Source organism: Homo sapiens, chromosome 1, assembly GCF_000001405.40.
Source record: "Homo sapiens chromosome 1, GRCh38.p14 Primary Assembly".
Classification (NCBI taxonomy): domain Eukaryota; kingdom Metazoa; phylum Chordata; class Mammalia; order Primates; family Hominidae; genus Homo; species Homo sapiens.
The window spans coordinates 780,772-803,176 of record NC_000001.11 but is presented as its reverse complement, the minus strand read 5'-3'; the positions used below and the strand labels follow the sequence as shown (position 1 = coordinate 803,176).

Below are 22,405 nucleotides of genomic sequence, written 5' to 3'. Positions count from 1 at the left end.
TACAGGTGTGAGCCACCATGCCCAGCCTGTATCTTTCAACTAATGTTTTATGTAAAATCATTTTTTCCATCTAAACAGCAACTTTAAACGGAGACTAATCAATAATTACTACACAGTCTTAGGATAAAAGTTAGTAATAGAATTTAGTGTTCAATTACAGATTGTTCCAGTTGCCAAAATAAAGATAAGTAGTTTGGAATGGAAGTTTCGTTTTTACTCTAATCTTTGAAGTTGAGTTTGAGCCAGATGTCTTGTTGGAGGCATAAAATGGCCCCACCTTTTGTTCACTGTCCAGGGGCAGATGCTCTTCACTCAAGGCAGGAGGAGCCCATCAGTGCTGGCGTCGCTGAGCACCTCCTGTGTGCAGATCAATGTACCTTGTCTTTTCTAACTAGTGCTTTCAAGAAACTTTGAAATCCAGTTCTAGTCACACTCCCACCATGAAATCTTGTTTGCCAGTGATCACAAGGTTGTAGCAATACCAACTCAAGCCTACCTGGCTGGGACCTTGGCCTCGCCACCCCCATCATGTCAGCAGCATTCCCTGGCCCTTAGGTACGCCAGTGGTCACGTGTTTAAGTTGTCTGCGTCCCCATCCCAGTTGAGCCCCAGGAGCAGGGGCTTGGTTTGTTCACTGCTGTTCACCCACTGCTGAAAATAACACCCCCTTTGTCAAAGTGGAGTGTGTCCCAACTGCAGTGAGGAGCTGCACTTCCATGAACTCGGAGGTGCCCAGCAAACCCAGGACGGCTGTAAACACAGAGAGGGAGACCAGTACCCAAAAGCTGTCTGGAGGAAGTAGAACTGGGTCCTGAGCCTATAGGTTAATGTGACTGTGGTTTTTACACATTTGTTATCATTCCCTTGGAGTCCTGGGCTTGCTTATAGCACTGAGAAGAACAGCCTGCCCCCTCGCCCCTCTGGCAGCCAGGAGGTGACTTCTGACAGCCAGGCATGAACAGCCCGAGGCTTGGGAGGTGCATGCAGGGCAGTGCACGGTGTGAAAGCTTCCTGAAAGCTGCACGGTGTGCAACTGAAATTTATAAAAATGTTAAATATGCTGTGTTTCCTAAAGTACACACATCTGTAGGAAAAAAGTTTTCAGAATCGTAAAGTTTATATATCTAATTTTAGTTATTTGATAAATTAACTTATCTGAAGTACTTCATTCTCTACCTGTGGCAGACCAATTAGATAGTACATCCAGTGTCACATACTTTCAGGGGTAGTGTATTTTTAGTTTAGTTTCTTGCCATCATTTATTTTTATGTTTTCATTTGCTTTAGATGTAGGCGAAGAGTCGGTCTCTCTTGTCTTTATTCAAAAGTTTCTGTGTCCCTGGGCATTGCTCTGCCCCTCCAAGACTCCCCAGTCCTGTTTCCTTTAGCCCACCTGCTCCTCATGTCTGGAGATGGACTCCTGCTTCGCAGTATCCCAGGGATCTCTTAAATGTGGAAAGGTGGCCAGGTGCGGTCACTCATGCCTGCAATCCCAGCATTTTGGGAGGCCGAGGCAGGAGGATAACTTGAGCCCAGGAGTTTGAGGCCAGCCTGGGCAACATAGGGAGACCCTGTTTTTACAAATAATAATAAGCAAATAAGGAAAGACATCTCAGGCTAGAATCTCTGGCTATATGAAGATTTTTTTTCAAATTTTTTCATAATTTCTACTAATGACTACTCCATAGTAGCAAGTTAATAGCAGCAGCCTCACAGCAGCGCATGGGAAAGATGCTTAGTGAGTGACCCTGAGCCCTCCCAGGCGGGGACTCGAGGGTGAGGCAGGGAGGGAGAGAGGCTCTGCAGCCACACGGCCGCTGTTGGAATTCTGTCTCTTTCTTATTTATTTACTCAGGGATCTCAAGCATATGACTTCATCATCTCATCCATAGTATCTGGTAGATTTTAGCATCTACCTCAGAGCACTGTTATAAAGATTAGATTAGTTCCATCATAGGAAGCTCTTGGAACAGTCTGTACTCTGTGTTAGCCACTATTTTGATTTTCTTTTGAGGAGGATTTAGGCAGAGGGATATCAGCTGCATGGAGATCCATTTATGACCCAAGAGGTAAAGACAAGAAAATGGGGCCCAGAGAGATGGGCTGAAGGTCACAATGGAATCAAGGACAGAGACCAAAAACGTAGCTGTCCTGACAGCCGTGAAGAGCTTCTTCATTACGACTTTATTTCCTAAGTCTATAAACTTTGATTTTCCTCTGATGTAAATTAAGTGACTTTCTTAAATGCATCATATGACTTTTTAAAAAATTTTTTAAATTATACTTTTAAGTTCTGGTATACATATGCTCAATGTGCAGGTTTGTTACATAGGTATACACATGCCATGGTGGTTTGCTGCACCCATCAACCCGTCATCTACATTAGGTATTTCTCCTAATGCTATCCGTCCCCTAGCCCCCCACCCCCCGACAGGCCCTGGTGTGTGATGTTCCCCTCCCTGTGCCCATGTGTTCTCATTGTTCGGCTCCCACTTATGAATAAGAACATGTGGTGTTTGGTTTTCTGTTCTCGTGTTAGTTTGCTGAGAATAATGGTTTCCAGCTTCATCCACGTCCTTGCAAAGGACATGAACTCATCCTTTTTTATGACTGCATAGTATTCCATGGTGTATATGTGCCACATTTTCTTTATCCAGTCTATCACTGATGGGCATTTGGGTTGGTTCCAAGTCTTTGCTATTGTGAACAGTGCTGCAATAAACATACGTGTGCGTGTGTCTTTATAGTAGAATGATTTATAATCTTTTCATCATACTACCTGACTTCAGACTATATTACAAGGCTACAGTAACCAAAACAGCATGATACTGGCACCAAAACAGATATATAGACCAATGGAACAGAACAGAGGCCTCAGAAATAACGCCACACATCTACAACCATCTGATCTTTCACAAACCTGAGAAAAACAAGCAATGGGGAAAGGGTTCCCTATTTAATAAATGGTGTTGGGAAAACTGGCTAGCCATATGCAAAAAACTGAAACTGGACCACTTCCTTACACCTTTATACAAAAATTAACTCAAGATGGATTAAAGACTTAAACATAAGACCTAAAACCATAAAAACCCTACAAGAAAAGCTAGGCAATACCATTCAGGACATAGGCACGGGCAAAGACTTGATGTCTAAAACACCGAAAGCAATGGCAACAAAAGCCAAAATTGACAAATGGGATCTAATTAAACTAAAGAGCTTCTGCATAGCAAAAGAAACTATCATCAGAGCGAAGAGGCAACCTACAGAATGGGAGAAAATTTTTGCAATCTATCCATCTGACAAAGGGCTAACATCCAGAATCTACAAAGAACTTAAACAAATTTACAAGAAAAAAACAACCCCATCAAAAAGTGGGTAAAGGATATGAACAGACACTTCTCAAAAGAAGAAATTTATGCAGCCAACAAACATGAAAAAAAGCTCATCTCTGGTCATTAGAGAAATGCAAATAAAAACCACAATGAGATATCATCTCACACCAGTTAGAATGGCTATCATTAAAAAGTCAGGAAACAACAGATGCTGGAGAGGACATGGAGAAATAGGAATGCTTTTACACTGTTGGTGGGAGTATAAGTTCAACCATTGTGGAAGACAGTGTGGTGATTCCTCAAGGATCTAGAACCAGAAATACTATTTGACCCAGCAATCCCATATGACATTATAAAATAATGACCTGGCAAATTAGATGGAACTGTTGAAAAGGGCTGTTTTTAAAATTTCAGATCATATTGCTAATCAGGCTTTTGTTTGCTCTGGTGAGTGTTGTTTTAAGCAACACAATCCAATGCTAATTTACTGTTGTATAATAATTTATTCAGTAGGCCCTGCTATATCCCAAGCACCTGGCAAGTAGTAGGCACTTGTTATTCCTAAAATGAATGAGTGACTGAGCATACAAACCAACTATTGTATATATAAATGTTTTCTAAGTTACTCCAATTATTTTTTTTTTTACCACAGTTAAACTCCTTCATAAGTTCTACTTGAAGTAGGAACTATTAAGATACTCTAAGATAATTACATTTGTGCTGATAGTTGTACTACACCTACAGGTTACTTTTTTTTTTTTTTCCAAGCAAACTGCATAGTTAGAAGCAGAGGAAGTTATTTCCACTTTATTTTTTTATTTTGTATTTTTCTGAGACAGAGTCGCTTTGTCGCCCAGGCTGGAGTGCAGTGGTGTAATCTTGGCCCACTGCAATCTCCGCCCCCCGGGTTCAAGTGATTCTCCTGCCTCAGCTTCCCGAGTAGCTGGGATTTCAGGCACCTGCCACCACACCTGGCTAATTTTTGTATTTTTAGTAGAGAGGGGGTTTTGCCATATGGGTCAGGCTGGTCTTGAACTCCTGACCTCAGGTGATCTGGCTGCCTCGGCCTCCCAAAGTGCTGGGATTGCAGGCGTTAGCCACCATGCCTGGCCTATTTCCACTTTATAAAAAGATTCTACACAAAGATATCCTCTAATTTCCTAAGTTAGCAGGACTTTTCTTACACAGAAAAAGATATATTTACATATATATTTTTCAGTTTTCCTAGTTGTTGATCCAAGAATTGGTTGTAGGCTATTTAATTCCAGGCATTTCCTATAATTACCCCCATAAAAATGCCAGATTAAAATGTATTAGCAAAGTATGTTAATGCTCCTGAGAACAGATTTGTTAAAGAAGGTCCAAGAAATGACAGTGTTGTCACCACTCAGAAATGGCCATTTCCATTGAAGGAAGTGCTCCTCAGCTCCCCTGAGAGTCTGACCTCAGTTGAATTAAATTTGACCTTGTAACTGATGTTTTTAAGAAACATTGAACATAGATTGCTGACGACGGTGGATAGGTGGTGTCAGGGCAGTTTGAGCACACTGGGAATATAAGGCTCCTCATTATACGGCATGCCAAAAAAAGTTTGTCCTCCAGGCAAGTATCCGAATTATATTGGAAGTTTGAAATGCCGGTATTGATAATAGTCTGCAAATGTCCACTACCATCTTCATTTTTCTTTAATTCTCACCATATTTATCCTACCAACAAGATAATTTGTAGAGTATGACTAAACACAGCAACTAAGAATGCTTTTACCAAAATAAAATTATAAGTTGTGTAACAGTTCAGTTTCAGATAAAAAAGCAGACGTTCTTTCTGCCAGTGCTAGAAGTCAGTGAACATTTGACAGAGTCAAAATGGTTCCCAAGAAAAGCAGAGAAAAGGGACAACCCCAAAAATAGAATCACTTCTCACAGACCACTGCTTGAGCAACTTGTGAGCTGTAGGAGGGGCGCTGGTTCCTAAGCCTGAAGTGGAGGGCATGTTTTAATCCAGCCTGCATGAGGTTGTAGTGTGGTGCTTCCCTACCTCGGGGCAGCGGTGGGCGGGCAGTCCACACATTGCTAAAGGACCTGAGGAAAGTGGCTGGAGCGTCCAGAAAATTGATGAAAACTACAAAGTCTGCTTGGTTCTGCTTTGGCTTGCTAGATTACATCCCTTTTTTGTAAAAGACAATAAACTTGAGAAGTCTTTTTAAAATTAGATAATCAAAGTTGAGATCACTGAGGGCTGTGTCCAGCACACACGCTAGCTGGGAAGCAGCAGAGCAGGAAGGCACAAGCACAGATTGTGGGATCCCCCTGCTCTCCAGGTCTGGCCCCTCCCTCCTCAGTGGTGTGGCCTTGGGGCCAGCTTCTTCATCTCTCCCTGCCTCAGTTTTCTCATCTCTAGAGCAGGGATAATAGTAAGACCTACTTCACAGGGGCATTACAGCATTAAAAGGGCATCAGGTACTTCAAATGGTGCCTTTATAATAATCACTCAGTAAATGCTTACAGTTCATTATAAACCTAAAGGAACCCAAAGGCGAAGATTGAGCAAAGTTGATTTGGTCTGCCCAGTGAAGAATACTTTCTGTATTTTGTAGTAAGGCTGACTTTAAAAATAGAGGTAGTGGATGTTGTTGTTTCTCTTTCTCTGCCCTTCCCCATGTATGTGAGGCCCTTCAGGAGCCCAGGCACACATGCAGTGCCAATTTGCTCCCAGATCCAAGGGTGTTCAGAAGTGGACTTCGAATTTCAAATAGCTGTGATTTTATTTAACTTTATTGAATTCTAGTTTTATTATATTACCACCAGAGAGTTTGGCCTTTAAGATCTCTAATTCTTTGAAATGATTAAGTTTTCCTTTGTGGCCTTCTTTATAATTGATTTTTGTAAATATTCTATTGATGTGTGAAAAAAATACAGATTCTCTATTTGAAGGATGTACTTTCTTTCTGTTTATCTAATTCTTCCACATCTTTACTTGTTTAGAATTGTCAGATTTGAGGAGATATGCAGTCATGCACTACATAACGATGTTTTGGTCAATGACCGACCGCGTGTAGTGTAGTGGCCACATAAGATTGTTTCCTTTTTTTACTGTACGTTTCCTATGTTTAGATATATTTAGATACACAGATAGTTGCCATTATGTTACAGTTGCTGTTCAGTGCATTAATATGTTGTATAGGTCTGTAGCCTAGCTGTGTAGGTGTTGTGTAATACACTCTGTGATGTTCACACAATGAGGAAATTACCTAGCAATGCATTTCTCGGATCAGATTGTATCCCCCTTGTTAAGCGACCCATGACTGTATAAAAAACTTCCTATAATATTTGTGTTTTTAACAAATGTTCATTAAATTCCCAACAGACTTTGCTTTATGGCTAATTAGGCTTATGGACGATTACAGTTTCTTTGTTAATTGTCTTTTTCCCTGTTATCTTAGTTACCAGTTTAACCTGAAATGTAATCTTGTCAACTGTGAACACGGCCCTTCTCACCTCTATGCTTATGTATGCCTCGTGATGTCCATTCTGTAGTCCCCTGTGGGTAACTAGTCTAAACTGACTGTGCTAAGCTAATCCCGTGCCTTCTGCTGATGATTTCAGTCTTTTAAAAGGAATTTTAAAACATGATATTAAAGAAATGTAGAAAACTTATTTCGATGATAGGAGGGGAGGTAGTCGGGAAGGCCTTATCTCCCAGGGAACACATATTCTCTGTTCTGGTATCTCTTCCCCTAGTGGAGCAGCAGTTCCAAACCCAAATGTTGTCTCAGGGGTCCTTTTCACTTTTTAAAATTACTGAGGACCCCAAAGAGATTTTGGTCATGTGAGTTATATCTATTAATGTTTGCCACATTAGAAATTAAAACAATTTTTAAAATATTTCTCCATTTATTTAAAAGTAAGGACTGGGCTGGGTGCAGTGGCTCACGCCTATAATCCCAGCACTTTGGGAGGCCGAGGTGGGTGGATCACCTGAGATCAGGAGTTTGAGACCAGCCCGGCCAACATGGTGAAACCTGTCTCTACTAAAAATACAGAACTTAGCCAGGCATACAGAAAATTAGCCGGGCATGGTGGCATGCACCTGTAATGCCAGCTGCTCGGGAAGCTGAGGCTGGAGAATCGCTTGAACCCAGGAAGCAGAGGTTGCAGTGAGCCGAGATCGGGCCATTGCACTCCAGCCTGGGGGACAAAAGTGAAACTCCGTCTCACAAAACAAAACAAAACAAAAAAAGAGTAAGGACTGTATGTCTCACACCTTGGCACACCCTCCTGGTGTCTGGTGTGATGGAGGGGATTATTCCTCATCTCTCCTGAGTTCAGTCTTCTGTAATGTAGCATGCTGGGGCCTCTGGAGCACTTCACTGCACACTAACGAATGTGAGGATGGAAAAGGAAAATCTTATCTTAGTGAAACTGTGGAAATAGTTTAGACCTCGGGCTCCCCTAACAGGCCCCTAGACGATGCTTTGGGAACCGTGGTGGTAGAACTCTCTCTCCCAGACTCACTCTGCCCTGACCCCTCTTATTGGTGAGAAACAGGCATGTGTAACTCTTCTTTTTCCTTTGAGGAATAAAAGATATTTGTACATTTTGGTCTGTTTCTTTCATGTCTTCAGTGCTGTAGGGCAAGAAGCCTATCTGGGGAGGCTTTGGTTATTAAGCAATGCTTACGGCTGGCTGGCTTCATCTCAGTCTAGGATTCAGATTAGGAAATCCATTGTTGTGTGAATCTGAATCGCATCCGCCAGTCCAGCTATTATTAGCGATAATGCTGATGACCTCAGTTGGCCTGAATCCTTTGTCTCTAAATTGATTCTAAAGTGAGGCAGGGAAAAGGTGCTATTCGACACTAAAACAAGAAATTTAATAACAATATTCAGTTAATTTGAAAAGATAAAGGAACAGGATTGAAATTTTAACAATGGTCTTCTCAGCTTTGCTTGGCCTTAACCTAATCTTATCTCTGGCCAGTGCCCTCAACTGGTGTGTTTTAGTGTAAGATATTTTTATGTAAATATGTTAGAAATCACAGAATGTTTTCCCCCCAAAGATTATCATGTAATTGTCACATTTATAATGTTATTTGTGGCTCAGTATATGACTTAATGATTTCTCATTCTGGAAATCAAGAAAGGCTGGAAGGAGAATTGGAAGGAAGGGATGAAAAACTCCATTTTCAGAGAAATAAGAGGCAGATGCAATTCACAGACTCTAAAATGTGCATGAGGCTTACCAAAAGCAGCTAAGCCTGGGCAGCGATAGTATAGGCGGAACTGAGCAGAAGGGCTCAGGCTAACAAAAGCACTCGTCAGGGCCAGGTCTAGAAGTCGAGCCCCACATACCCTGTGCACTGAGAGGCTGAGTCGCAGATGTTCAACTCCAGCTTGCAGAGTGCAGAAGTTCCAGGGAGGACCACTGAAAGCAAAGGGCTTCCTGGATCCAGTTTTACTCAGAGACATGGGCTGTGGGGTCTCCCAGGGATTCACATGCAGGTAGCGGCTGGGGGAGAGAGTGCTGGAACTGGGAAGGCTGGAAGCTGCCCTTCCCCCACCCTGAGGGCATCTGCAAAACAGGTGCCCTAGAACGTCCCACCTCACTCTGAAATGCCTGTTAGAGAAGGTGACCATCACTGCATGGATATTCTCTAAGGAAATTGTGGGAAATGTGTCTGTGAAGCAGGATGGAATCATGACCAGACAGTTCATCATAAATGAAAAAAACAGGAAACTCATGAAGCAGTTCTGTGGCAGAAGATCCCAGTGCAGGAATGCCACAAAACAGAAAAGAGATTTTAATGAGGTTGAGTATCCCTTATCCCAAATGCTTAGAACTGGAAGTGTTTTAGATTTTGGATTTTTTCAGATTTTGGAATATTTACGTATACATAATGAGATAACTTGGGATACAAGCTTAAACACGAAATTCATGTATGTTTCACATACACCTTATACATATAACCTGAAGGTAATTTTATACAGTATTTTTAATAATTTTGTTCAACCCATCACATGAGGTCAAGTATGGAATTTTCCACTTGTGGCATCATGTCCATGCTCAAAAAGTTCCGGAGTTTGGAGGATTCTGGATTTTGGAATTAGGGATGCTCAACCTGTACAACCAAGTGAGACAGCAGGAGACAAAGTCAAGTTGGCAGAAGAAAGGATGGCAGCAGCCAGGAGAACCACCACAGAGGTGAAGGTGCGATTGGAAGGGCCCAGGAGAAGACAGATGTTTTGGGAAACACAAAAAAGGTGATGGAAAAATACGAATGAGAGAATTAATAAGAATGAAACCGTAATCATGAGTTTAAAAGGAACTAGAAAGAAAATTACAGCTGAAGAGAACAGGGAGAGGGGTTCCAGCATATTTATCATTGGAATCTTCAAACAGGAAAACAAAACAAAAGGACAGAACAAATATTTAAAGATAATGTTCAGGAAAATTCTGCTCAGGTAAAAATAGATGGAAGTGTACATTGTGAGAGGGCAAATTTTATGCTGGGGAAGGTTGACTGAGAACAGGTTATGAGTGTGCCATATCCTACAGGAATTATTAAACTCTGAAGATGAAGCAAGAACCTCCCAATGGGTAAACAAACATGTCATCTCTTACGGAGGGAAAAGATCAGGGTGGCTTCAAATTTCTCCAAATTCTTCAGATAGTGGAGTAATCCTTACTTATGGGATCCTCCAGGAAGAAAGGATGGCCCATGAATTTTATGTCCAGTCAAACCATCTTTTGTATCCAGTCTGCAAACAAACACTATTGATCATGTGAGAACTCAGGGAATACACACTGTTCTCATGAGCAGTTTCGGCTGGAGAAACAGTGTCCATCAGACTGGATGTCAGTGAATCTCTACAGCGTCAGCTGTGTGGCTGAGGGTGATGGAGCAGAGTGTGAGTGGAGGGCAGAGGAGAAAAGGTCGGTGGTTAGAGGTTTGTTGACTGTCTCACCTATAATCACAGGGAGGCAGTAAGATGTTATTCACTAAAATCAAGTTGTAGAGGAGAGGGATGGAAGGAAGAAGGAGCAAGATGAATGACAGTTTTATCACAGTGTGGAACAGGAAACTAACAGGCTAAGATGTGTTGTATGAGGATTCCGAAGGAGAGGGAATTACATAGAGTTAAAATTCCAAAAGTAACCCCTAGTACAAAATAGTGCAAACATTTCTAAATTTCAGAAGAACTACAGAGAGAACACAAACTTTTTCAAAAAGCTACAAAAACATGTCATAAAAGTAAGACCAAACATTGTATCTATACATGTAAACACATAACTTTATACACATAACCTGAAGGTTGGTAAAAGTAAAAGATTTCAGATTGAATCAAAAAGTGAAACCCAACTCCAAGTTGTACGTAAGAAGCCCACCTAAAACAGAGATTTACAAAAGTTGAAAATAAAAGAATGAAAAGATATACTAGGCAAAAGTAAAAAATAAAGTGGGACAAAAAGCATTAAAGGAAAGCAGCAGCCCACTTTTTCCTGCCATGATGCACATCAGAGTAGGGGCAACTGGAAAAGCAGGGCATCCCTGGAGGGGCAGGTGGAGCAGCGGCGAGGGCCTCGGTCATCATTCCCACAGGAGACCTCTACTTCGTGGGTTCTGTCACAGGGATTTGTTACTGTGGCTTCCCAGAATACAAATTCTACAATTTTGTATTTTAGTGCAATTTATTTGCTATTTAATAATGAGTTTTCAAATACAAAATGCTATTTAATAATGAGTTTTGGTGTTGTGTTTCCTTCTTAATTTCTACATGGAAGGGCTGTTTGATTTATTGATTGTCTGTTCAGCAAACAACTGCGAGTATGGGCTTAGGTTGTGAAAATATTTGTTAGTGCCCAACCATTCATTCTAGCCTCTTTCTGGTGTGCCCTTTTGATACAGAGGCTGGAAAGCTAAAAGCTCCATTTCAGACTCTTGCAGCCTGGGCTCTGGGAGGAGATATGCTTCCACTAACTAAATGAATGCCTGCAAGACTAGAAGACAGAGCTGCAGGCTGCGGCTGCCTCAGCTCCCTTGTATGAAGGTCTCTTCAGGTTTGCATGGGTAGTGACTGTTTCCTATACTTGGACTCTGACTGATACAGTGACTTAATTTAGGATGGCATGTTAGAAATCTTCATGCATGTGTGTTATATCACTGTGGTTTGTAATTCCATTAAATTCTATTCCATTTGAGTCCATTCCTTTCCATTCCATTCGAGTCCATTCCATTCCATTCCATTCCATTCCATTCCATTCCATTCCATTCCATTCCATTCGATTCCATTCCATTCCATTCAAGTCCATTCCATTCCATTCGAGCCAATTTCATTCCATTATATTCGAGTCCATTCTATTCCATTCTATTCCATTTGAGTCCATTCCATTCCATTACATTCTAGATCATTCCATCCCAACCCATTCCAATCGAGTCCATTCCATGTCTTTCCATTCGAATCCATTCCATGTCATTCCATTCGATTCCATTCGATTCCATTCCATTCCATTCCATTCGAGTCCATTCTTGCCATTTCATTCAAGTCCATTCCATTACATTTAATTCCATTTGGGTGCATTCCATTCCATTCCATTCGAGTCCATTCCATTCCATTCCATTCGAGTTCATTCCATTCCATTCGAGTCCATTCCATTCGAGTACATTGCATTCCATTCCATTGCTTTCGGGTCCATTCAATTCAACTGCATTCCATAGGTGTCCATTCCATTGCATTCCATTCCATTACATCCCATCCCATCCCATCCCTTCCATTCCCATTCCCATTCCCATTCCATTATATTCCATTCCATTTGAGTCCATTCTATTCCATTCCATTCCATTCTATTCGAGCACCTTTCATTCCATTCCATTCCATTCCATTCCATTCCATTCCATTCCATTCCATTCCATTCGGGTTCATTCCATTCTGTTATAATTCTATTCCATTCGAGTCCATTCAATGCCATTCCATTCCATATGAGTCCATTCAACTCCATTCCATTCGAGTCCATTCCATTCCATTCGAGTCCATTCCATTCCAATGCATTTGAGTCCATTCCATTCCATGCTATTCCATTTGAGTCCATTCCATTCCATTCCATTCCATTCCATTGCATTCAAGTCCATTCCAAACTCATTACATTCCAGTCCATTCTATTCCATTCCATTCTTTTCCATTCCATTCCATTTGAGCCCAGTCCATTCCATTCCATTCGGGTCCATTCCATTCAATTCCATTCGAGTCAGTTCCATTCCATTCCATTTGAGTCCATTCCATTGCAGTCCATTCCATTCGAGTCCATTCCATTCCATTCCATTCGAGACCATTCCATTGTATTCCATTCCAATCCTTTCGAGTCCATTCCATTCCATTCCATCTGAGTCAATTCCATTCCATTCCATTCGAGTCCATTCCATTGCATTCCATTCCATTCGAGTCTCTTCCATTCTATTCCATTCAAGTCCATTCCATTAGAGTCCATTCCATTAAATTCCATTGTATTCCATTCCATTCGAGTCTCTTCCATTCTATTCCATTCAAGTCCATTCCATTAGAGTCCATTCCATTAAATTCCATTGTATTCCATTCGAGTTCATTCCATTCCATTCCGTTCCATTCATGTCCATTCCATTCCATTCGAGTCCATTCCATTCCAATCCTTTCGAGTCTATTCCATTCCATTCCATTCCATTCCATTCCATTCCATTCTATTCCATTCAAATCCATCCCATCCCATCCCATCCCATCCCATCCCATCCCATCGCATCCCATCCCATCCCATCCCATTCCACTCGAGACCATTCCATTCCATTCCATTTCATTCGGGTCCACTCCTGTCCATGCCATTCGAGTCCATTCCAATACATTCCATCCCATTCGATTCCATTGCATTCCATTCCATTCCATTCCATTCCATTCCATTCGGGTCGATTCCATTGCGTTCCGTTCCGTTCCGTTCCATTCCTTTCGGTTCCATTCCATTCGAGTCCATTCCATTCCATTCCATCCCATTCGAGTCCATTCCACTCCATTCCATCCCACTCGAGTCCTTTCCATTCCATTCCATTCTATTCGAGTCCATTCCATTCCATTGGAGTTCATTCCATTCCATTCCATTCGAGTCCATTCCATTCCATTCCATTCCATTCCATTCCATTCCATTCCTTTCGAGTCCATTCAATTCCGTTCCATACAATTCAAGTACATTCCATTCCATTCCATTCGAGTCCATTCCATTCCATTCTAGTCCATTTCATTCCATTCCATTCCATTCCATACCATTCCATTCCATTCAATTCAAATCCACTCAATTCCATTCCATTCCATTTGAATCCATCCCACCACATTCCATTGGAGTCCATTCCATTCCATTCCAGTCCATTCAATTCAATTCTTGTCCATTCCATTCCGTTCCATTCGAGTCCATTACATTGCATTCCATACCATTCTAGTCTATTCTGTTCTATTCCATTCGAGTCCATTCCATTGCATTCCATACCATTCGAGCCTATTCCGTTCTATTCCATTCTAGTCCATTCCATTCCATTAGAGTCCATTCCATTAAATTCCATTGTATTCCATTCGAGTCCATTCCATTCCATTTGGTTCCATTTGTGTCCATTCCATTCCATTTGAATCCATTCCATTTCATTTCTTTCGAGTCCATTCCATTCCATTCTATTCCATTCAAGTCCATTCCATTCCATTCGGTTCCATTCCATTCCGTTCCATTAGAGTCCATTCCATTCCATTCCATCCCATTCAAGTCCATTGCATTCCATTCCAATGCATTCCATTGCATTCCTTTTGGATCCTTTCAATTCAACTGCATTCCAATTGAGTCCATTCCATTCCATTCATGTCCATTCCATTAGAGTCCATTCAATTCCATTCCATCCCACTCAAGTCCATTCCGTTCCGTTCCGTTCCATTCGTGTCCGTTCCATTCCATTCCATTCATGTCCGTTCCATTCCATTCGAGTGCGTTCCATTCCATTCCGTTCCGTTCCATTCCATTCGGGTCCATTCCACTCCACTCCATTCCATTCCATTCCATTCCATTCCATTCCATTCCATTCCATTCCATTATATTCACACATCACATTCTGGTTTAATGCTTATTCAATAATGAACTGTTTTGTTTCTCTACTTCCTTTGTGGAGAAAATTTTTGGGTTGAGAGATTTTGAATTTAATTACATTTAACCCACACATACTTGGGAGGGCTTGCCATAGCTTGCACTCCCATTTGGCTCTGTGACATCACTCTGCACTGTGTTTTGTCCTGGGTCTCTGGCATACCTTAGTCTCTTGCCCTAACTTACTTTCTTTGGCCCACACCTTAAGCAATAGGTCCTCCAAGGTTCCTGCTCGATTTCTAGTTTGTTCGTTCATTCGTTCTTTTGTACTTTCTCTCTCCTTCTCTCTGTCTCTCATCGTCTCTTCCTTTCTCTCTCCCTCTCTCCCTCTCTCTCTCTTTCTTCAGAGTTTTGCTTTTTTTGCCCAGACTGCAGTGCAATGGCACGATCTCAGCTTGCTGCAACCTCCACCTCCTGGGTTCAAGCAATTCTCCTACCTCAGCTTCCCAAGTAGCTAGGATTACAGGCATGTGCAACCACGCCTGGCTAATTTTTTGTATTTTTAGTAGAGATGGTGTTTCACCATGTTGGTCAGCTGGTCTCAAACTCCAGACCTCAGGTGATTCACCCACCTCAGCCTCCCAAAGTGCTGGGATTACAGGTGTGAGCCACCACACCTGGCCAAGTTCTAGTCTTGTCTTAATATGAAAAATTTCAGCCATGCTAAGGATTTCTACAGCTGACTACATGTGATGAGGGCTAATTTTTAAAAAAATCTTCAGTCCAGATCTCATTTCCAGATTTGAATTTTAATTGTCTATTGGACACCATCATAGAGCAGATTTTCCCATTAGCACCTAAAATGCACCATGATAGAATAGTGGAGTAGAAATAAATAATTTTGGTTTGGTATAAAAAAATCTTTGTTCACATACTAGAGCTGAGTTATAGTTGTGGCAATTAGCTCTGTGACCTTGGAAAAGTTATTTCTAACCTCTTCAAGCCTTACTTTTCCATCTGACGAATCAAAATAATATTAGTGTTAGTATTGTCTCGCGCATCTGTGTGAAGAGAGTCCACCAACAGGCTTTGTGTGAGCAACAAGGCTGTTTATTTCACCTGGGTGCAGGCAGGCTGAGTCTGAAAAAGGAGTCAGTGAAGGGAGACGGGTGGGGCTGTTTTATAGGATTTGGGTGGGTAGTGGACAATTACAGTCAAAGGGGGTTGTTCTCTGGTGGGCAGGGACGGGGGTCACAAGGTGCTCAGCGGGGGAGCTTCTGAGCCAGGAGAAGGAATTTCACAAGGTAATGTCACCAGTTAAGGCAGGAACTGGCCATTTTCACTTCTTTTGTGATTCTTCAGTTATTTCAGGCCATCTGGATGTATACATGCAGGCTTGGGCCCAGAGGCCTGACAAGTATGAGTATTATAAGAAATAATTTATAGAAATCAAGAAAATAATTCAATTTACCCTAGTATCAAAAAGAATGAAATTGTAGGAATAAATTTAACCAGGTAAGTGAAAGATCTGCACAATGAAAACTATAAAACATTGATGAAAGAAATTGAAGAAGACACAAGTGAATGGAAAGATATTTCATGTTCATGGATTGGGACAATTAATAGTGTTAAAACATCCATACTATCCAAAGCAATATATAGATTCAACACAATCCCTATCAAAATGTCAATGGCATTTTTCACAGAAATAGGAAAAACAATTCTGAAATTCATATGAAACCACAAAAGACCTGAAATGGCAAAAATAAATAAATAAATAAATCTTTAGAGCAAAAAACAAAGTTATAGGTATTACACATTCTGATTTCAAATTATATTACAAAGCTATAGTAATCAAAACACTGTGGCACTGGCATGAAAACAGAGATGTAAAGCAATGAAACAGAATAGAGCCCAGAAATAAACCCAAGCATATAAAAGTCAACTAATTTTTGACAAGGACATCAAGAAAACACAGTGGAGAAAGAATAATCTCTTCAATAAATGGTGTTATGAAAATTGGATATCCAACACTGGGGAGACTGGACCCTTATCTTACATCATACACACAAATATACTCAAAATGGATGAAAAATCTGAAACCATAAAATTTCTGTAAGAAACATAGGGGGAAAGTTTCTTGATATTGATCTTGGCAATGATATTTTTGGATATCACACCAAAAGCTCAGGCAACAACAAGAAGGATAAATACATGAGACTACATCAGACTACATCAAACTGAAAACCTTCTGCACGTTGACTGGGTGTGGTAGTTCACATCTGTAATCCCAGCACTTTGGGAGACCAAGGTTGGAGGATCACTTGAGGCCAGGAGATCAAGGATCACCCTGGGCAACATAATGAGATCTGTCTCTATAAAATAAATAAATAATAAAAAATTAAGTGAAATAATCAACAAAATGAAAAGACAGCCTACAGATTGGGAGAATATACATGTGTAAATTGGGACTGTCCTGGGCAGACTGAGATAAATGATTGCCTTACCTTTTTCTGAAAAAATTACTACCTGCCCTTGGGACTGTGTTTTTGTCTTACCTAAGAATTTGCCCATGGGTACAACAGCATGCTGACACAAAGCAAGAAGCTTGTATAGTTCTGATCTTAAAGTAGAAAAAATCATCTGTGATGAGGAATGGAATTGGACTTGGTGCAGCTCTATCTTGACTGGGAGCCACAAAGGCAAAAATGTTGAAGACCGAACACCCCAGCCTTTGGGCATCTACAGTGGATTTTTGGGATTGAGTTGCCTGGAACTTAGGATTGCAGGTTTGGAGGTGCTTTGAATAAAATGGATGTTCCTTTCATAAAAAATTTTGAAGCACCAAAGGAGGAAGCCCTTGGTAGAAGATAGTGAAGGATGCTTCCTATCAATGGAGTGAAATGTTTGATTGTATTTGCACTCTGAGGTGCAGAGATGTTTGGAGAAATCTGTTAGTGGCAGGATGGGAGGAATTGGTCTTGAGAGCTAGAAACTCTGAGGTCAAGTTTTATTGTGATATATCTAGGTATGATTTTTTTTTATTATACTTTAAGTTTTAGGGTACATGTGCACAATGTGCAGTTTAGTTACATATGTATACATGTGCCATGTTGGTGTGCTGCACCCATTAACTCGTTATTTAACATTAGGTATATCTCCTAATGTTATCCCTCCCCCCTCCCCCTACCCCACAACAGGCCCTGGTGTGTGATGTTCCCCTTCCTGTGTCCATGTGTTCTCATTGTTCAATTCCCACCTATGAGTGAGAACTAATCATGCGTGGAGTTTATAGCACTTTGAATCTGTGGCTTGATATCTTTGTTTGTTTTTGAAAGTTCTTACTGTTTCGGAGGGGGCAATCTCAAAGAAAATTGCAATAACAATACAAGGAACTATTTTTCTCTGAAATGTTTGTTGATAAGTGGCTGATATAATGCCCTGTCACCCTCGATTAGTTTAATTCATATTACCTGTTGACTAGAACATTCTAAAAACCAGAGTACAATGATCAAAGTGAGGAAATTAAATTGAGCTTACTACTACCAATGAATCTTCAGACCCCACTCAAATTTTATCAATAGTCTCAATACTGTTCTTTATATCAAAAAGATGAAATCCAGAATTAAGCATTTAGATTTCATGCCTCTTTAGTTCCCTTGAGTTTGGAAAAGATTGTCTGTTTTTCTTGACTTTTATAACCTTGAAATTTTTGAAGATTACAGGACAATTTATTTGTAGAATATCCCTCAGTTTGGTTTTTTCTCATGTTTCCTCATTATTAGATTCATTTTTTATAGGGTGTCACAGAAGTGATGCTTTATTTTCTCATTGTATCTATCAAGTGGCTTATGATTTTGATTTACTCTGTTACTGATAATGCTCAACTAAACCTCTTGATTAAAGTAGTTCTGCCAAGATTCTCACGTCAAGGTGCACTTTTCCCCTTTGTAAGTAATACATAATTTGTGAGAAGATACCTTAAGACTACATAAATATCTCATTTCCTTTAACGAATTTCAATATTCAATTATTATTTATATTAATATGATGTCATGAATTCCTTTCTTCACTGGGTTATAATTCTGTGACTGTCACCATTTTATTCTGATGTTCAAATCGCCCCATATTTGGCCTGTTGGAATCTTTTCAAGTTGGCTTCTCTGCTTTTTTTGGGCATGTCTCCATCATTCTTTGAGCATTGCCTTACTTTCTTGTACAAAAAGATATTCTGGGCTCATCTTATACTTTCTGTGCTCTAGCTTTGAAATTACCGTTTCTTCAAAGAGCTCTGTTTCCTTTTAGAGGAGGATGGTTTTTAGAAACCAAGTTCTAGGTAGCAGGTGTGCTTGTTGCTGTTGAGGTGTTGCAGCTCCCAGGCCCTTTCCGTGAACAGAGCTAGGAAAGTTTGATTATATGTGTGTTAAACCTTTTACCATGTCTGATATGTCTCTTAAGCTCTTTTCTAAATTTGCATTCTATGCTTCTCAGTGTTTTTATTTTCTACTTCTTTCCATTTTTTGAGTATTCTTGTTTTCTTACCAACTTTATGGAATTTGCTGTTAAACCTATCTGGTAATATCTTAATTTTAGTCATTGAAATTTTCAGTTATAGAAAATCCATTTGATTCTTTCATAGAGTCTTTAGTTTTGTTTATGTTTATATATATAAATACTATATATAAAGTATTAAAATCCAAATAACAAGATTTTATATTTAAACACAAAATACTTGCTGAATATTTATTATAGTATCCCAACTTTTAAAGAGAAAGATATTTAAAAATAAACATGACAAGGAAATTAGAGAAGTCAACTTCTTAAATATAACCAAAGTGTCAAAAAACATTTAAGTCAGTTTAAATAAATAATAAAGGATATACTGATACATTCACACAATGGAGTATTATACGACGATGAAAAAAACAACTACACCCAACATGAGTAAATAATACAGACATAATCTTCACTGAAAGAAAACAGATACAAAAAAGTATACGTATATAACATTCAAGAACAGGCAAATTTATGGAGAAGGCAGTCAGTAAGGTGTTTATCTTTGGGGGTTGTAATACTGAATGCAAGTGAGCACATGGAAGAAACTAGGGTTCTGGAAATGAACTGTATATTAATTTGGATAGTGGTTAGTTTTACCTTTCATATCTAAATTCATAAATACTTAAGTGAAGGTATTCATAATAGATACCCAAATTAAGAAAGTTCAAAGTTCATTTTCTTGCTTAGGTTTAAAATTTCCAATATTTATCACAAAATAAGCATGTAGGATCAAGTTTTTAGAGTAGAATTTTGCAGGTAATTTTAAATCTCAAGCCCTATGAAGGTTACTAAAAAAAAAAAAAATTCCTAAAATAGAAACATTAAAAAGGAGAAATAAGATATTTACTTCACAAAATTACTCCTTTGGGGTCTTGCAGTATGAGATATATGAGTTACTGCTCAGAATACATAGACTGTCCACCTATCCTGTGCACTGGGATGATCACTACCACTTCTTCAAATCCAGCTAAAAGCATCACAGCCTCAATGAAGCCTACTCCAGGCCAGAACTGTTCACGTGCCTCCTCTCTGCTCATGTCCTATATATTACCTAAGCAGAGCTCACCAACAATATTTTTCATCAACAGCTTAGAGCAGCGCTGCCAAATAAAAATACCATGTCGGTCATGTAAGTAATTTAAAATTTTCTTAGTAGCCACTTTTAAAATAGGAAAAAGGTGAAATCAGTCAATTTTATTTAACCTGATACATCCAAAATATTATCACTGCAGTATACAATCAATATAAAAAATTATGGAGATTTTCTTTTCCATGCTCAGTCTTAGAAATCTGTGGCATATTTTATGTTTGCAGAACATCACAATTCAGACTACCCACATTTCAAAGATTAATAGCCACATGTGGCTACAGGCTGCTGTACTATTTAATAAAAAGTGCATATCTAGAGTCTAGCCCCTTGCTTTATAAAGTGTGATCTACCATCCAGCAGCATCAGCATCACCTGGGATCTTGTTAGAAATGTAGAAAGGCAGCCCATCTCAGAACTACTAGAAGAAATAAATTTAACAGGATACCCAGGATTGGAATGCATAGCAAAGACTGAGAAGCAGTAAATTAGATCACATATAGCTTGGGAGTCTTACAGAATTGCTATTGCCATTCAACTATGATATGGTATTATCCCACTGACTAATATAGAACACTGTATTTAAATAACAATAGTTTTTCTATGAATCATGTTTTCTCTACACTGTCCAATGCAATTTTCTACAATGATGAAAATCTTCATATATGTGCTGCACAAAATGGCAGCCACTTGCCACATGTGGCTGTTGAGCACTTGAAATGTATCTGGAGCAAATGAGAAATTGCATTTTAATTTAATTAATTTTAATTGATTTAAACATGTGGCAAATGACTATCATACTACATAGCACAACTCCAGGGGAATTGGTTACTATGTCACAGTGTCATCTCTAGGAGAATCCTTAGGACAAATTTGGAAAGTTCTAGTCAAGATAATCTTTCGATTAACTGTACTTCTTCTGTTTTTTTGATTTTATGAAGTCATATTTACCATCTTACACTGGCTAAGGGCAAATTTGCATCTTACCTCTAAGGAAGCATAATGAAAGTTACAACACGTGCTTTGTGTGTATTAATATTATTCCAGCTTATCATCAATTAAAAATACCAATATCTAGACCTGTACAGGCTTTTTAATTCTCTGAGAAGGACCTGGATACTCTGGAGAATACAAATCTGTGAGGAATAATGAGTTGATTAATGTCAACTTTCCCAATCCAGATTTGCCTAAAAGAAATAAGGGAAAATATCTGTTAAACTCACCCACTTTACTCAACCTTAAATATTCAACAGATACTGTAATTGAACTTGCTTTATGCAAGTATTTCTTGGTGAGACAATGAAATGACATTAGAAAATATGCTACAAAGAATAAGTATCTTGTCCTCAGTTTCTTAGCTATCAAATTAAACTCACGTTTCCAAGGATTCTTTTCAGCCTTCTAATTATACCACTTATATTCATTAAAAGTAATGTATCTAATAATTACATTTTTAACAGTAATGTATTCCCAAAGAAAAAAAGTCAGTCATTATTTAAAAATCCAAGTTGGATTATATATCACTGCTTCAGTGAAATAAAGTTTTTCTTTATTAATAGACAATAATGAATGAATAATAAACAAGAAATCATGCAGCTATAAAAAGCAAAAATCTGCTAATACAAAGAATAATTAATCACAATGAACATCTCTGTATAAAATTCTAAATCACAAAAAATACTTTCTAATTTTGCCGCCCATCAGCCTAAATATAAGGGTGCTTCTCCACAAACCAGAATCCAAAAAATCTTAGGTAATTACTTTTTCTACCACTTCTACTCAAGGTAGGAGGTAGACACGAAGGAAGCTAGGGCATGATTTCTACTCTGACCACATACTCTTTTTTGACTCTCCGTGTTTAGTCCAATATACATAGTCCAGTGTATAGTAATTATTACAAGTATACCAAAATATAAATGGCTTCAAGGTATATATAACCTAAGGTTAAAACAAATTATAAATCAGATTATGATAATTAACATGGCACAGAGTTAAAGTATTTATTGTTAATAACTCACTTAGCATAATAGGCATGTTTAGCCTAAGTAACTGGTGTCATAATATTTTTATGCCTAGGAGGAATTCTTTTTATATTAGCTCTCAAAAGAGATAAGATTCTCTCCACGTGGTTTGGGCTTACCCCTTTGACTGAGAGCATGCCACTTTTTACTAGAGGTTGATGTATGACTCAACTTAGAGTTGAGGATGAAAAGTGGGGATCATAGCACCTGCCTATACCCTGGTACAGATCATATGACGTTGATTTATTTATTTGTGGAGTCAGGGTCTCGCTGTGTTGCCCAGGCTGGAGTGCAGTGGTACGATCATGGCTCACTGCAGCCTTGAACTCCT

The 22,405-nt window shown here is 39.4% G+C and overlaps 2 long non-coding RNA genes across 2 annotated transcripts in view, besides 2 other annotated features; both read right to left on the bottom strand.

Annotated features, from left to right (window-relative positions):
- The window catches only part of LINC01409 (long intergenic non-protein coding RNA 1409), a 31,268-nt gene that overhangs the window by 6,889 nt on the left and 1,974 nt on the right, over positions 1 to 22,405 (bottom strand). Inside the window, exon 2 of the long non-coding RNA NR_187359.1 lies at positions 21,041 to 21,240. This is a non-coding gene — a long non-coding RNA (long intergenic non-protein coding RNA 1409). The remainder of the gene's footprint in view (positions 1 to 21,040; positions 21,241 to 22,405) is intronic.
- Positions 4,096 to 11,579, bottom strand: LOC124903817 (uncharacterized). Its single transcript, XR_007065339.1, has 2 exons — positions 10,136 to 11,579; positions 4,096 to 7,707 (listed from the first exon to the last, which is right to left on the bottom strand). It is a non-coding gene; the product is annotated as an uncharacterized LOC124903817 (long non-coding RNA).
- Positions 11,329 to 11,895: an enhancer, noted in NCBI's record as "OCT4-NANOG hESC enhancer chr1:726662-727228 (GRCh37/hg19 assembly coordinates)". NCBI's record gives its function as "activates a minimal SCP1, AML or CMV promoter by ChIP-STARR-seq in naive H9 embryonic stem cells {active_cell/tissue: H9 hESC(naive)}" and the evidence as "EXISTENCE:reporter gene assay evidence [ECO:0000049][PMID:30033119]".
- Positions 11,927 to 12,891: an enhancer, noted in NCBI's record as "OCT4-NANOG hESC enhancer chr1:725666-726630 (GRCh37/hg19 assembly coordinates)". NCBI's record gives its function as "activates a minimal SCP1, AML or CMV promoter by ChIP-STARR-seq in naive H9 embryonic stem cells {active_cell/tissue: H9 hESC(naive)}" and the evidence as "EXISTENCE:reporter gene assay evidence [ECO:0000049][PMID:30033119]".